The 18,375-nt window shown below is 36.7% G+C and overlaps 1 protein-coding gene across 3 annotated transcripts in view; it reads left to right on the top strand.

The window, feature by feature from the left end:
- FGF12 (fibroblast growth factor 12) overlaps nt 1-18,375 on the top strand; it is a 588,152-nt gene that overhangs the window by 174,764 nt on the left and 395,013 nt on the right. The window lies entirely within an intron of this gene.

Genomic DNA, 18,375 nt, shown 5'->3' with positions numbered 1-18,375 from the left:
CTGGTGTTACAGGTGCACACTACTATATCTGCTTAATTTTTGTATTTTTAGTAGCGATGGGATTTCACCATGTTGGCCAGGCTGGTCTGGAACCCCCAGCCTCAGGTGACCTGCCAGCCTCGGCCTCCCAAAATGCTGGGATTATAGGCATGAGCCACCATGCCTGGCTGGCCTGTATTTACTTTTCTGATGAAGAGTCCATCATCTTTCATCTTTTTTCCCTTCATATGAGGGTTTTTTTTGATACATTTTAAGATTTTCTTTTTACCATTATCTTTCAGCACTTTGATTATAATATACTCAGTCAAGGTTTTCTATTTACATGGTTTAGGGTTTACTAAATGTCTTGAATCTGGAGGGTAATTTTTAAAACAAATTTTGAATTTTGAATTTTGTTTTTTGCTTCTTTTTCTCTCCCTACCTTTTCTTCTCTCCTACTTTTTCTCCTCCTCCGTCTCCTTTTCTTCTTCCTCTGGATTTTCACAAATAGTTGAATTTTCTGAGGTACCAGGGCTCTGCTTGTTCTTCTCAATCATTTTCTTTTCATTGTCTTCAGATTGGTTAATTTATATTCACATGTTTTCAAATTCATTGACCCTTTATTGTAGTGTCTAATCTGCTGTTCAGCCCATCTAGTGAATTTATTCAGGGAAAGTATTTTTTATTATAGAATTCTCATTAGTCCTATGTTATAGTTTTCTTTTCTCTCCTGAGATTTCCCAACTCAGCATTGTGAATATATTATTTCTACATTTTTCTTTAAGTTTATATCTATATCTCTACATATATATCTCTATATAAATAATAACATATCCACCTATATATCTATATTTATCCACTTTTAAGGTCTTTATCTCCTTATTCCAACATCTCTATCATGTTGGGATTTGTTTATATCAACTTTTTACTTTTGACTATGGGTCACATTTTTCCTACATCTTTGCATGTCTAGTAATATTTGACTGTATGCTTGACATTATGAATGGTATGTTGTGGGATGGTATGTATTGAGTATTTTTTTTTTCTTTGAGGAGTGTTTAGTTTTATTCTGGCAAGTGGTTAACTACTGGTGGCTTGTTTTGATTTTGTTAGAATGGATTTATACTTTATTTCAATTTTATCCTTAGTTCTATGGCATGGCCATTATTTTAGGTCACGGTCTTTCCTCCTAGGCATGGTCATTCCAGCATCTCGACCGAATGCTTTTGTTGCTCAGTGAAGCTTTCTCACTCTGGCTGCGTTAGGACTTTAACATCTATGAGCACTGTTTAATGTCTCCATTCAGATGAGCACTGAAGGATTTGTCACTGCTATAGTTGTTCTCTTAAGAGTGTCACAGAATACTCTCCTGAACAAAAGTAGCCCATCTTTTGGCCAAGGGCCTGAGGGCAACCTCTGTGAAGATTTCTTGCTTCCCCTAGTCTGCGAAGCTTTCTCTCCTCAGTACTTGGCCACACAAATTCTAGCTACCTTACCAGCCCGAAACTCTGATCTGTGCCTTCTCCTCTCAGTAAAATTGTCATTCTCTATTTGGCCTCTGTCTCCCATGCTGCCCCTGGAAAGTGACCCCGGGTAGAAAGCTGGAGTTAATACGGGGTTAACTTACATTTTCCCTTTCTCTAAAATATGACAGTCCTGCACCATTTGTTATCAAGTGCTTGAAAATAATGTGTTAATAGTTTTTGACCCAGTTTTATAATTGTTTATGGCAGAAGGATAAGTCCAATACTAGTTGGACTTTGTCATGGCTAGAAGCAGAAGTGTTGTTTTTATTTAATATTGCATACACAATCTATTCCTAGGGTTCCTGACCTAAGTGACTCTCTAAACCTGACAGTTACATGCGTTCCAGGGAGAGGAAGCTAAAATAAATGGGGATAATTTTGCTTTTTGTAAAGAGAGAGAAAAAGGTATTCGTATCTTTAAATATTTGAGTATTTTAAAGTATTTTTAAAATTTCATTTTAAGTCTTCTACAAAACCTTCATTGAATTATATTCTTTTTCTTAAATTAGCTCTGAACTCTTTGGTTATGTATCAGAAATTTTCCCCTGTGTACCTCCAATCTACCTTTTTCTGCTTACCTCCTACTTTATCTCACCTGATGCTCTAGTTGTGTTATACTATTTGTTCTTTTAAAACTATACCCTACCTATGTAATTTTCTCTTTGTCTGAAACGGCCCTCTTCCTTTTTTTAAGGCTTAGCAAACTTGACATACTACATTCTTTGTTACTTATTTCTGCATTACTCATGGTTCTTCAGAGAACCATGGTTCATGGAACTCATGGTTCTTCAATAGGTGTTGTATATCATAATATTATATCTGTGTAATATATAATGTAACATATGCAATATATAATATGTTATATATGTAATATATGTAATTACATTATATATTATGTATACACACATATAATCTATTATATATGTATGCACATATATAGGAAGGAAAGGAATATATTATATATGTTTGCACATACATATATACGTGTGTGTACAAATATTATCTATGCACATACATATATATACATACATATATATCTGTACATATACACATATGTGTATGGTCTCTGATACACCTCACATCCTGTGGCTCACTCAAGTGGACACATAAAATTAACCATCCCAATTTCCTTTTTTCTATATGTGTAATTATATATACATATATATATACACACTCACACATATACACATATATAAGTGTGAGTGTATAGATATATGTGTGTATATATAATATACATATATAGAGAGAGACAGAGAGAGACAGAGGGAGGAGATTTATTATAAGAGATTGGCTCACATGTTTTTGGAGGCTGATAAGTTCCAAGGTCTGCAGTCTGCAAACTAGAGACCTAAGAAAGCTGTTGTGTAGCTTCTGTCCAAGTCTGAAGGCCTGAATACCAGGAATGCTAATGGTGTAAGTTCCAGTCAGAAAGCTGGCAGGCTCAAGACCCAAGAAACGCTGATATTTCAGTTTGAGTCTGAAGGCTGAAAAAGACCAATGTCCCAGCTCATAGCAGTTAGACAGAAGGAGTTCCCTCTTGCTCAGCCTTTTTGTCTATTCAGGTCTTCAATTGATGGATAAGGCCCACCCACACTATGAAAAGCAATCTGTTTTACTCTATCTACTGATTCAAATGTGAGTCTCATCTAGAAACACCCTATAGTCATACCCAGAATAATGTTTGGCCAAATTTCTGGGCATTCTGTGGCTCACTCAAGTAGACACATAAAATTAACATTCCAAATTTCCTTTTTTCTATTTTCAAATGTGATTTTATCCTCCTTTTCATTTGTTCCTATATCTGACACTTTATACACTTTACCATGAATAATCATTATTCTGTCATGAATAATAAATGTCTATTTTTCATTTTGAGCCCCTTTTCTACTTAGCACAATTCCAGGAGCTTGGACATTATTGCTTCTTCTTCTTTACTTCCACACACAATCAATTACTAAGTTACATTAATTATTAGAATCTGTTCTTTTATTTTTATCATGACTGCATTTGCCATCGTTTAGGGTTTTACAATTTGTTGTCAGGTCATATTGGTTTTCTCTGTCTCCATACTAGTACCAGAGTAATCCTCCTGAATCACATATATAGCCTACTAGGAGTTAAAATCTTTCAACAGCTTTGATAGCATTTTTAAAAATCCAGATTTCTTAGCCTGAGCAACAGTTAGTGTAATTAGCTTGCCTGGTATGGTTTAGGAAGCATAAACTATTACATCCACTTTAATGCCTATTAAGAAATGTGGCAGTGGTTTATAATAGAGAAGTGATGTAGAGATCTATGAAAGACTTTTTTTGATGGAAGAAACACAAGTGAAGTATTTTTTCAGGTTATAAGAGACAGGGTTATATTGCAATGAATTATTCCCACAGGAACAACTGTAGATTAGTTATGGAATCAGCTTTCCTTTCCATTTTTTAGGTTAATATTGCCAGGTTTTTTTTAATGCTGTGTGTTGTTATTGGTGAGATGAATAAAAATATCAGTAAATGTGTTAGAAGGGATATAACACTACAACTGGGTAAATACATGATTGTCTTTGAGTCTATCTGCTCTGAAACACAATGGTGGCATTATTAGAGAATAGCTATCACTGGAATTAATAATAATGTTCAGAATCTGGCTAATACATACCTTGATTAATTAGTTAACCCCATCTTAGACACGGTAGATGAGCCATTGTAGTGTCACTGAAAATACAGGTGATAGCCACACAGTTGATAAGAATCAATCTAGCAAAATCCTCTGGAAAAGGGATTTAGAAGTGAAAAGGCTTGAAGTCTGCTCCAAGTTGAGTAATTATGTTGTGAGTTTTTCTGAGTGATTCATTTCCCTATGCCTCAGTTTTTTCCATTTGTACAATGAAGGCATTGAACTGTGTAATGTCTGAAATTTATATCAATTCTAATATTGAATTTGAAATTTAAGAAATATTTCTGATTCGTGTTTTATATTTTTAAACATGTGTATCAATGCTTCGGGAATTAAGGACTTTAAGTTGCTTAATGTTATCTATTGTCACCAATTCAACTGGTAACAGCTCTAAAGTCTCTCTATGTACTAGACAGCAAACACCCTTCTTCTCTCCCTCAGCATACCCTGACACTTAAAAAACAGGAAATGTGTATTTTTGGATGTTATTCAAATTTACTTAGAAGTATTTACTCACTTAGAAGCAATTTACTCATTTTGAAGTATGCTAAGAAAGGCATTTTCAAATCCTGTAGTAGTTGGAAAGTTTTTTAAATCTTGGTTTCATTTTTTGACTTCATTTCTGGTTCTAGTCATCTACATTCTGAATGTACAGAGGCCTCCAGTAAATTTTCTAGCTAATACTTGGGAAGCATTTGTAAGGGAACAGAGTATTATCTCCCAGCACATGTTGAAGAAAATGATAACAGAAGCTATAGAAAAAACAGTGACAGAAGCTATAGAGAAGAAAATGATAATTTTTATCGCAGTGACTGAAAGGCAACCCTGGCCAGTGCTGTGATGAGGAATAATACTAGTTTCATTGGTTAAGTTCTAGCATTATATACCTAGAGCAGGTATTTTTAAGAACAGGTTGGAGAACGCTTCCTGTTGGTTTTGGATTCAGTTGTGAATTCAGCAAACTGTTTAGAATCCAGTATCATTTCTATGTGGCCAATTTTACTGCAACATAAGCTATAATTTGTATACATATTGAGATTTGTCCACAACAATATACCATTGTAAAGATAATAACCTGTTATAAATTATAATAATCATTTATTAGAGACAACCTTCCTGAAATAACTTGGTATCATTGAGGTGATGAAAGAGAGACATTGGGGGAGTTTATTGCAGAAGCAGAGACTCTATAAAGAAAATGGTGAACTTGAGGGAGTTGAGAACTATGTATAGTTTGATTGTGGATTATTCTATTGTGATCAAACTGAAAAAGACTAATTCATAGAGACTACTTATAAAAAACATTTAATTAATGAGTCAGATGCTGATGGATACATTTACACTGGGAGAGAGACGTCACCTGCTCTACTACCAATGGAAATTGCCACTCTGTTTTCTATAAAGGATTCCATACATGGCTTATAAAAAGCCAAAGAGTCATCACAAGGTTTCTTTTGATATGTGAAATTAGTACAGATAGAGTTGGGTAGGTCTAAGGAACATTTGTGGAGGCTCAGCTAGAATCTGGTTTGTCTTGCCCCACTATTGTTTTTTTGAGACCGGGTCTCACTCTGTTGCCCAGGCTGGAGTGCAGTGGTGCAATCTCAGCTCACTGCAGCCTCAACCTCCTGGGCTCAAGCGATCCTCCCACTGCAGCCTCCGAAGTAGCTAGGACTACAGGTGTGTGCCACCATGCCAGGCTAATTTTTGTATTTTTTAGTAGAGATGGGGTTTTGCTGTGTTGCACAGGCTGGTCTCAAACTATTGGGCTCAAGGGCTCTGCCCACCTCAGCCTCCCAAAGTGTGGAGAATTATAGGCATAAGCCACCCCACCCAGCCCACCCTACTATTTTGTAAATAGTCATTGGTTATTAGGGTACTGAGTTAGGGTTCACTCATTTGTCAATAAAAGTCTATTGAGTAGAGACTATGTGTCAGAAATAGTTCTGGTCTCTAGAAATACATTGGTGAATCAGATAAAGTTCCTGCCCTCATAAAGCTTACATTCTATCAGGAAGGAATAAGCATTGAACCAGGGAACTACAATTAAACCCTTATTCTCCAGTTGTGGTTTTGGTGTATTCTTTATCTGTCGAAATATCCTTTTTTTTTTTTTTTTGAAAAGTAGCAATTTCTCATGACAAACATGTTACAGATTCTAAAATTTGCTGCGCATTTTAAATTTCTCCTTAATTTATGAATTATATATATATAATTGATTTTTCCATAGATGATCTTAAAAAGCTGGGATCACTGTGGTTTGCACCTAAAGTATTAGTGATGATAGGTTTAATTTGTTTAGTGCCTATTGTAAGCCCTGTAGTGCGGTAGTCACTATATGTATAATATCTCATAGACTTCTTACAATACTCTATAATGAGGCATTCTTATCTATATTTAGAGGAAACAACTGAGACTCAGAGAGGTCATGTAAATTGTCTAAGATGACACAGCTAATAAATGACAGAACCAGGATTTGAATCAAAGTTGTCCAGACTCAAAAGTTATGTTCTTTTCCACCACACCACTCTGTCCCTCATTTACTAGGTCTTTCCTAAGGCAATAATTACAGCTAGCTAATTACATTTCATTCTGAAATGAAGTTATGACTTCTTCCTTAGTTTATTTGGGTGGAATCCATTCAGAGCATAGAGATCCTTATGCCTTTAATCAGTCAGATTGGACTACTTTTCTTTTCAAAATCTCTGAGATCTAATTTGTCTTAGAGAGTGTAGCCAAGTGGTTCAACGTCCTTTGCCCACAGCTCAAATGTCCTCTGAAAGTAAAAAGAAGCTCACTATGAGTAGAGACAGGTAATTCCAACTGTGGATGGATTTGAGAAAGAGAATATTTTTTAATATTGAGTTGAGAATTGTCTCCTTAAAGTACCAGCATCTACCACGCTGAAGAATTACAATATTTTATCCATAAAAGAACCCTCTGGATATTATGTGGACAATTTTGTTTTCTTCTGGAAGCTACTTTTTCTAGCACCTACAGTTTCATTCTCTTCACCATGTGTCACTCGCCTCGGGATAGGGGCCAGCTGAGACAAGCTATAGCTATGGGACGTAATTCACAGCTTTGCTAGAAGGTAAACATTTCACAAAAGCTATGCACATACTTGTGAAGGGTTTTCTGTGGGAGAGAAAGATCAGTGGTTGTGGAGGAAAGCTTTTTCAGAGGTCGTTGAAACATGACTATTCACAGCTGAAGACTGTTATTTGTGATGCTCACTGTCCTTTGTGATAACATTTATCATGTGGATGCACATGGTAAATGCCTCCTGGAATTCAGTGCCAGGGAAAATATGTTGGTAATGATAAATTGGTACAATTGTCTTGATAATTAAGGCTTATACACAAGTAGTTTTGGGGGCCAGAGTGCAAGTGTTCGGTTGGTACCTACATAAAGGAATATCCTGTAGTATTTGATTCCCCAGGCAGTTGTAGTTGGCACAGAAATCCCCTATAATGCTATGCTAGAGAGTGCTGCTTCTCATAGGTGTTTCTGATCATTGTGGGGCTCGCTTCCCTTGGACATGGCTCAGTTGATCTTGCGTGAGTCTTTGTACCAGCTTACTGATTATTCAAGTTCTCCTTAAGCTATCTCACCTGACTTCTCCTCCATCTCCTCTTCCAGGAAGAGGAAAAGTCAAAGTCCAGACAAAGTAGTTGCGGCGATTGCCCTGAAATAGGTGTCTGCTCTTAGACAGACCTGTTGACTTACAGACTGAATGGAAATACAAAGGTCTGCTATACTCACGACTGTACCCTGATTCTGTGCCCAAGCTTATACAACTTGTGTGGGCTAGACCTGGAATGAGAGTCTAAAAAGTCTAGCTCTAGAATCAGCTCTCTTAAAACCTACAGTATAGTGCTTCACTAATAATACTTTAAAATAATAAAATGAATGTGAAATCCAGACCCTACTTCTATAAAAAAAAATTGTAAAATTTAAAGTGTTGTAGAGAGAAATCTATATGTTTTGTTATGTGTTAAATAGCTCTTTTGGATAACTTTAATACTGAGATAAAATAAATTTACAGTAAAATTCTCAGAAGGATGAGATAATTTACATGAGTTCACTGTCCAGATATCGAAACTTACTCCTTCTAAAAATTAAAATATCAGAGAGGAAGGCAGCGCAAGATGGCCAAATAGAAGCCTTCACTGATTGTCCTCCCAGCAAGAATAACAAATTGAACAACTATCCACACAAAAAAGCACCTTCATAAGAACCAAAAATCAGATGAGCAATCACAGTACCCAGTTTTAACTTCATATTGCTTAAAGAGGCACTGAAGAGGGTGGAAAAGAGAGCCTTGAATTGCCAACAGTACCCATCCCCCTCCCCCCAGCAGCAGTTCTGTGGCGTGGAGAAAAAAAAATCTGTGTGCTTGGAAGAGGGAGAGCACAGTGATTGTGGGACTTTGCATTGGAACTCAGTGCTGTCCTGTCACAGCAGACAGCAACACCAGGCAGAACTCAGCCAAAGCTAATGGAGGGAGCAATGAGACCAGCCCTAGCAAAGGGGAATTGCTCAGAACCAGTGAACTTGGGGGGCATGTGACCTAGTGAGACATCAGCTTGAACAGCAAAGAGAGTGCTTGCACTATCCGTTCCCCAGCCCCAGGCAGTGTAGCTTGCAGCTCTGGGAGATACTTCTTCCCTCCACCTTAGGAGAGGATAGGGAAGAGTAAAGAGGACTTTACTTGCCACTTGGATACCAGTTTAGCCACAGAAAGACAGGGCACTAGGCAGAGTCCTGAGGGCCCCATCCCAGACCTTAATTCCAGGATGACATTTCTAGACACACCCTGGGCCAAAAGGGAATCCACTGCCTTGAAGGGGAGAACCCAGTCCTGGCAGGATTCATCATCTGCTGACAAAAGAGCCCTTGGGCCTTGAACTTTCAGCAGTGGTAGCTGGGCAGTACTCGCTGTGGGCCTTGGGTGAGACTCAAAGACATGCTGGCTTCAGGTGAGACCCAGTACATTCCCAGCTGTGATGGCTATAGGGAGAGACTCCGTCTGCTTGAGAAAAGGGGAGGGAAGAGTAAAGGGAGCTTCGTTCCTTAGCTTAGGTACCAGCTCGGCCACAATGGGGTAGAGCACCAAGCAGACTCTTGGAGTCCTCATTTTGGGCCTTGGTTCTTGAATGGCATTTCTGGACCTAGCCCTGAACCAGAGGGGATCCCATTGTCCTGAAGAGAGTGTCCCAGGCTTGGCAGCATTCACCAACATGCTGACTGAAGTGCCCTTGGGCTTTGAGTGAACATCAGTGGTAGCCAGGCAGTACTCGCCATGGGTCTGGGGCAAGGGTGGCCACAGGCAGAAACTCTGTGCTTACAGAAAAGGGAGGGAAGAGTGTGAAGGACTTAGTCTTGTGGCTTGGGTGCCAGCTCAGCCACAGTAGAATAGAGCAACAGGTAGATTCCTAAGGTTTCTGACTTAAGGGACTGGCTTCTGAAAAACATCGCTAGACGTGACTGGTGCTGGAGGAAACTCACCATTCTGAATGGAAGGACAAAAGCCAGAGTGGCTTTGTCACCTGATGATTGTAGAGCCCTAGGGATTTGGGTGAGCATAGGTGATAGTCAGGCAGTGGTAACCACAGCCCTTGGGTGAGACCCCAGTACCATACTAGTTTCAGGTCTGACCCAGCACAGTCCTAATAGTGGTGACAACAGGAGTATTTGTGTCACCTCTCTTCTAGCCTAGTTAGCTCAGCACAGAGCTGAGCTGTTTGGGAGAACGTAAGGAAAGAGAACATGAGTCTTTTCCTGGTAATCCAGACAATTCTTCCAGATCTGATCCAAGACCACCAAGAAGTATCTCTATAAGTCTGCAAGAACCATATTGTTACTGGGCTTGGGGTGCTCCCTAATACAGATGGGGCTGCAGTGACCAGAAACTTAGAGCACAACACCCAAGTGCCTTTGAATGCTTGGAAAGCCTTCCAAAGAAGGACAGGTGGAAAAAAAAAAGACTGTGAAGACTACAATAAATACCCAACTCTTCAATGCCCAGACACTGACAAACATCCACAAGCATCAAGATTATCCAGGAAAATATGACCTCACCAAATGAACTAAATAAGGGAGCAGCAATTAATCCTAGAGAGACAGAGATATGTGATCTTTCATTCAGAGAATTCAAAATAGCTGTTTTGAGGACTCGCAATGAAATTCAAGATAACACAGAGAAGGATTTCAGAATGCCATCAGATAAATTTAACAAAGGAATTCAAATAATTAAAAAAGAATTATGCAGAAATTCTGGAGCTGAAAACTGCAATTGAAATACTGAAGAATGCATCAGAGTCTCTTATCAGCAGAATAAATCAGGTGGAAGAGATAATTAGTGGGCTTGAAGGCAGGCTATTTGGAAATAGCCAGGGGAGACAGAAAAAAAGAAGAAGAAAAAAGAATGGGCCAGGCATGGTGGCTCACACCTGTAATCCCAGCACTTTGGGAGGCCAAGGTAGGCGGATCATTCAAGATCAGGAGTTCAAGACCAGCCTGGCCAACATGGTGAAACCCCGTCTCCACTAAAAATACAAAAAAAAAAAAAAAATGCCAGGCATGGTGATGTGCACCTATAGTCCCAGCTGCTTGGGAGGCTGAGGCCCCCAACGTCAAAGATAAAGAAAGGATCCTAAAAGTGGCAAGAGAAAAGAAATGAATAACGTACAATGGAGCTTCAATATATCTGGTAGCAGTCTTCTCAGTGGAAACCTAACAGATCAGGAGAAAGTGGCATGACATATTTAACGTGCTGAAGGAGAAAAACTTGTATCCTAAAATAGTAGATCCAGTGAAATTCTCCTTCAAGCATGAAGGAGAAATAAAGATTTTTCCCAGACAAATAAAACTAAGGGGTTTTATTAACATCAGACATGTCCTCCAAGAAATGTAAGGGAGTTCTTCAGTCTGAAAGAAAAGTTTGTAAGTGAGCAAAAAAAATCATCTGAAGGTGCAAAACTCACTGGTAATAGTAAGTATACAGAAAAACACACTATATTTTGACACCATAATTTTGATGTGTAAACTACTCACATCTTAAGTAGAAAGACTAAAGATGAACCAATCAAAAATAAACTACAACAACTTTTCAAGATACAGATAGTGTAATAAGATATAAATAGAAATAGCAAAAAGTTAAAAAGTGGGGGACACAATTAAAATATAAACTTTTAATTAGTTTTCTCTTTGTTTATGCAATAGGTGTTAATTTGTCATTAATTTAAAATAATGGGTTATAAGATATTATTTGCATGTTTTATGGTAACTTCAATCAGAAAATATACAACAAACACAATAAAAATCAAGAACTTGAAACGTTAAAACATATCGTCAGAGAAAATCACCCTTGCTAAAAGGAAGACAGACAAAAGGAAAGAAGGAAGAGAAGACCACAAACAACCAGAAAACAAGTAACAAAATGGCAGGGGTAAGTCCTTGCTTATCAATAACAACTTGAATGTAAATGGACTAAACTCTTCAATCAAAGCACATAGAGTAGCTAAATGGATTTAAAAAAAACAAGACCCAATGATAAGTTGCACTTTTCCATAAAGACACACATAAACTGAAAATAAAGGGATGGAAAAATATATTGCATGCATGTAGAAACCAAAAAGAGCAGCAATAGCTATACTTACATCAGACAAAGTAGATTTCAAGACAAAAACTATACAAAGAATCAAAGAAGGTCATTACATAATGATAAAGAAATCAATTCAGCAAAATGATGTAACAACTATAAATATATATGTACCCAATACTGGAGCACCCAGATATATAAAGGAAATATTATTAGAGCTAAAGAGAAAGATAGACTCCAACATAATCACAGGTGGAGACTTCAACACCCCACTTTCATCATCGACACATCATCCTCACGGAAAATTAGCAAGGAAACATCTGGCTTAATCTGCACAATACACCAAATGAACCTAATGTATATTTACAGAACATTTTATCCAATAACTGCAGAATACATATTCTCCTCAGTACATGGATCATTCTCAAGGATATACCTTATGTCAGGTCACAAAACAAGTCTTAAAACATTAAAAAAATTGGAAGTTATATCACGTATCTTCTGTGACCACAGTGGAATAAAACTAGAAATCATTAACAAGAGGAACTTTGAAAACTATACAACCATGAGGAAATTAGACAGTATGTTCCTTAATGACCAATGGGCCAAAGAAGAAATGAAAAAGGAAATTGAAAAAAATCTTGAAACAAATGATAATGGAGACACGACACACTGAAACCAATAGGATATGGCTAAAGCGGTACTAAGAGAAAAGCTTATAGCTATAATTACCTACGTCAAAAATTAGAGAAACTTCAAATAAACTACCTAATTATGCTTCTTAAAGAAATAGAAAAGCAAGAATAAAACAAACCCGAAATTAGTAGAGAAAAAATAATAAAGTTTAGAGTAGAAATAAGTGAATGTGAAATTAAGAAACAATACAAAAATCAGTGAAAGAAAATATTGGTTTTTAGAAAAGATAAATAAAATTGAGAAAACTTTGGCCAGACTAAGAAAGAAAAGAGAGAAGGACCCCAAAAAAATCAGAGGTGAAAATGAAGACTTCACAACTGATACTGCAGAAATCCAAAGGATCATTAGAGGCTACTGTAAACAACTCTATGCCAACAAATTGGAAATTCTAGAAGAAATGCATACATTCCTAGATGCATATAACCCACCAAGATTGAAACATGAAAAAAAATCCAAAACTGGAACAGACAAATGACAAATAAGCAGATCAAAGCAGTAGTAAGTCACCCAGCAACGAAAAGCCTGGAACCTGATGGCTTCAATGGTGAATTTTACCAAACATTTAAAGAAGAACTAATATCAACCCTACTAAAACTATTCAGAAAAATAGGGCAAAAGGGAATACTTCCAAACTTATCATATGAGGCCAGTATTACCCTGATACCAAAACCAGACAAAGACACCTCAAAAAGAAAAGAAAACTATAGGCCAATATCCCTGTTGAACATTGATGCAAAAACCATCAACAAAATACTAGCAAACTGAATTGGATTCAATAACTCATTAAAAAGATCATTCATCATGACCAAGTTGGATTTATTCCAGAAATACAAGGATGGTTCAGCATACACAAATCAATCAATGTGATGCATTATATCAACAGAACAAAATACAAAAAACACATGATCATTTCAATTGATGCTGAAAAATTATTTGATAAAATTCAACATCATTTCATGACAAAAACCCTAAAAAAAATCTGGGTATAGAAGAAACATACATCAACACAATAAAACCCATATATGACAGACCCACAGCTAGTATCATAGTGAATGGGGAAAAATGGAGAGCATTGTTTCTAAAATCTGGAACATGACATGGATGCTCACTTTCACCATTGTTATTCAACATAATAGTGGAAGTCCTAGCTAGGGCAATCAGACAAGAGAAAGAAATAAAAAGCATCCACGCTGGAAAGGATGAAGTCAAATTATCCTCGTTTGCAGATGATATTTTTGTTATTTGGAAAAACCTAAAGGCTGCACCCAAAATTATTCAAATTGATCAACAAATTCAATAAAGTTGCAGGATACAAAATTAACATACATAAATCAGTAACATTTCTATATGCCAACAGCAAATAACCTGAAAAAGAAATCAAGAAAGCAATCCCGTTTGCAATAACTACAAATAAAATAAAATATCTAGGAATTAATTTAACAAAATAAGTGAAAGATTTCTACAATGAAAACTATAAAACATTGATGCAAGAAATTAAAGAGCACAACAAAGAAATGAAAAGATATTCCATGTTCATGGATTGGAAGAATCAATATTGTTAAAATATTCATACTGACCAAAGCAATGTACAGACTCCATGCAAGTCCTTCAAAATACCAATGACATTCTATTCTTCACAGAAATAGAAAAAAAATTTTGAAAATTTATATAGAACTGCAAAAGACCCAGGAAAAAGCTAGAATTATCCAGCTAAAGCTATCATGTGCAAAAAGAACAAAACTAGAGGAATCTCATTACTTGACTTCAAATTGTACTACAGAGCTATAGTACCAAAATAGCATGGTACTGGCATAAAACCAGACAAATAGACCAATGGAACAGAATGAAGAACTCAGAAGTAAATCCATATGTCTACAGTTAACTTATTGCATAAACAAAGATGCCAAGGACATACATTGGGGAAAAGACAATATCTTCAATAAGTGGAGCTAAGAAAACTGGATATCTGTACGCAGCGGAATGGAACTAGACCCCCTATCTCTAGCTAACCATATACAAAAACAAAAACAAAACAAAAGAAAAAAAACGGATTAAAGGCCTGGTGCGGTGGCTCATGCCTGTAATCCCAGCGCTTTGGGAGGCCGAGGCGGGCGGATCACCTGAGGTCAGGAGTTTGAGACCAGTCTGGCCAAAATGGTGAAACCCCATCTTTACTAAAAATACAAAAAATTAGCCGGGCACAGTGGCACACATCTGTAATCTCAGGTGCTCAGGAGGCTGAGGCAGGAGAATCACTTGAACCTGGGAGTAGGAGGTTGCAGTGAGCCGAGATCGCACCATTGCACTCCAGCCTGGGGAGCAAGAGTGAAACTCCATCTCAAAAAAAAAAAAAGGTTAAAGGCTTAAATCTAAGACCTTACACTATGAAACTAATAAAAGAAAACTTTGGGAAAACACTCCACAACACTATTCTTGGCAAAAATTTCTTGAGTAATACCCCACAAACACAGGCAACCAGACCAAAAGTGGACAAATGGGATCACATCAAGTTAAAAACCTTCTGCAAAGTGAAGGATACAATCAACAAAGTGAAGAGACAACCCACAGAATGGGGGAAAATATTTGCAAACTATCCATCTGACAAGGAATCAATAACCAGAATATATGAGAAGCTCAAACAACTCAATAGGGAAAAAATCCATTAATCTGAATAAAAAATACATGAATATCTGAATAGACATTTCTCAAAAGAAGACATGCGAAGTGGTATATAACAATATGCTCAGCATCACTGATTATCAGAGAAATGCTAACAAAAACTAACAATATGTCACCTCACCCCAGTTAAAATGATTTTTATCCAAAAGACAGGAAATCACAAACACTGGCCAGCATGTGGAGAAAAGGGAATCCTTGTACACTCTTGGTGGGAATGTAAATTAGTACAACCACTATGGAAAATCGTTTGGAGGTTCTTCAAAAAACTAAAAATAGGGCTACCATATGATCCCACAATCCCATTACTAGGTATATACCCAAAAGAAAAGAAATCAGTGTATCAAAGAGATTTCTACACCCTCATGTTATAGTAACACTATTCCCAATAGCCAAGATTTTGAGGCAACTGAAATGTCCACCAACAGACAAATGGATGAAGAGAATGTAGTACATATACACAATGGTGTACTATTCACCCATAAAAAAAGAATGAGATCCTGTCATTTATAACAGCATGAATAGGACTGGAGGTCATTCTGTTAAGTAAAATAAGCCAGGCACAGAAAGATAAACTTCACATGTTCTCACTGATTTGTGAGAGCTAAAAATTAAAACAATTGAACTCAGGGGGATAGACAGTAGAATGATGGTTACCAGAGGCTAGGAAGTGTAGTGGCGGGGAATGAGGATAGTTAATGAGTACAAAAATGTAGTTGGAAAGAATGAATAAGATCTAGTATTCGATAGCAGAATGGGGAGACTAAAGTTAACAATAATTTACTATATATTTAAAATTAACTAAAACTATAATTGGATTACTTGTAACAAAAAGAAAGGATAAATGCCTGAGGTGATGAATACCCCATTTACCCTGATGTGATTATTATGCATTATATGCCTGTATCAAAATATCTTATGTACCCCATAAATACACCCAGTATGTACCCACAAAAACTAAAAGTTAAAAAAATCAAAATATCAAAAGCAAAAATCTTATTTTATATATATATTTTTAAATGTCTTAGAAAATTCTCAACATATTTTACAATTTTTGTTAATGTCTCAGGATCATTATTATTAATTTTAATAGTTGTATTGCCCTGTAAAATACACTTTCGGAGACTTGTTGACAACTTGATAGGCTTTCTGGTGTTATTTGTCTTCACACATGATGGCACCATGTATTGTGACTTTGGAGGGCATGATATTTGTTGGTTTGTTGTTTGCTTACTTTTTTGCTATAAAATAGTTATTTCTCACCATATGTTTTAAAATCTGTCTATTTCAACTTTTGCTTCTTGATAAGAGGTTAGCAGTCCTTTTCTGCTAAGAGCCAGATAGTAAATATTTTAGGCTTTATGGACCATATAGCCTTTGTCACAATCACTCGACTCAGGTTGTAGCCTGAAACAGTCATAGACAACACAGAAACAAATGGCTTTGGCTGTGTTCCAATGGAACTTTATTTTCAAAAACAGGCAGTTTGCTGGATTTGGTGTGTGGGTTGTAGTTCTAGACCGTTGAGCGTGGTGAAATAGCCGTGTAGAGTAATATGTAAAAAAGTAAATAGAATTTTTAAAAATGTAAGTACATATTGTATTAGGACATAATGTTACCCTACAAGCTATGTAAAATTTAGTGCTACAATTTTATGACAGCATTTGTGGGTGGTTAGATGTCTTTCTTTTGTCCCTTCTTTGCATCTTCTTTCAGGTTTGTATCTATGTGGCAGATATTTGGGGTTATTGAATGAATGAGCTCTAGAACACTTGCTTCATATGAAAACGTGCATATGTATGTTTATGTATCTCAGATACAGCTAAATTCATTGTACCAATTAAGACCTAGCTAAGATTGGTTTGAGCTCCATTCTATGAATTTTAGAGTTCAGTAGTGCCCACCCCAACCACCAGCAAGTTGTATGCAAATTTTCAGTGTGAGTTTATATTTTCAAGGTCTCCTCTGGCTCTGAATTCTGCTTCTGTCAAATTATTTCATTTTAGAGATTGTACAGCTATCCTTGTTCTCTGAAAAAGTCTCTTGGCCATTTCTATACCTCAGACTGCAGCCTCCTACCATGGTTTTTGGTTTTCCTTAGTCCCTTCCAGATGGCTCACAGGAGCTCCAAATTCTTCTCACATTGTTCTGCAGATTAATTCCATTTCCTCCAGTCTTACTCCCAAATTTCTCTCTGACTCCTCTGTGCATGTTTTGATCTACCAAGATGCTTTGCTGAAGAAAGAAGACCTATTCTCCCTTAATTGAACTGTCTTCCTAAGAAGGGAGTTTTAATTTTAAGTAGAATTTTTTCCCTATGGATATATGGATGAAAGACTAGGTGGATGGATGGCTAAAAAGATGTTATACAGTACTGTATATTAGGATAGCTACTTCATATGGAGGCTAGTACCAAATATGAAAAACCTATTTTTAGCTTATTATAGTTGATTTTGTGATCTAGATATTATTCAGCATTGTTCTTCAAATCCCCTGCCATAGCCAAAACACACCTTATATACTATTTCAGGAAGAATTTTTTTCATTTCTTATTTGTTTCATTTTATAACATATCCTAATAATGATTTTATTACAAAAGGAGTCAGGAATACCACTTCATATGATAGTCTACTAAATCTTAAAAATAGAATATAAGATCATAAATTGTGTAAGGTAAAAGTTAGACTTAAAATCAAAGTATCCACTGAAACTTACAATAGTAAGGTGGTATTTCTATTTGGAGGAATGTCTCCAAATCTCCAATATTAGAAAAATAGTTATCTTATTATTATTAAATAGTTCTAAAATCGGTAATTTTAAAATGATTTTATTCAAAATTAGTATTATTCAGTCATATATGAATTATCAGCCACTCTTAATTGTCTACAAAGAGCACTGCAAAGAACATCAAATAAACAGATACATTTTTAATAGACTAAAGAGCATGGTGGTTCATGCCTGTAATCCCAGCACTTTGGGAGGCCAAGGCAGGGAGATCTCTTGAGGTCAGGAGTTCGGTACCAGTCCGGCCAACATCACAAAACCCCATCTTTTCTAAAAATACAAAAATTAGGTGTGGTGGCATGCACCTATAGTCCCATCTACTTGGGAGGCTGAGACACGAGAATCTCTTGAACCCAGGAGGCGGAGGTTGCAGTGAGGCAAGATCATACCACTGTACTCCATCCTGGGCAACAGAGTGAGACTCCATCTAAAAAATAAAAA

The sequence above is a fragment of the Homo sapiens genome, chromosome 3, assembly GCF_000001405.40.
Source record: "Homo sapiens chromosome 3, GRCh38.p14 Primary Assembly".
NCBI classification, from domain to species: domain Eukaryota; kingdom Metazoa; phylum Chordata; class Mammalia; order Primates; family Hominidae; genus Homo; species Homo sapiens.
This window is presented reverse-complemented; position numbering and strand designations above follow the sequence as displayed.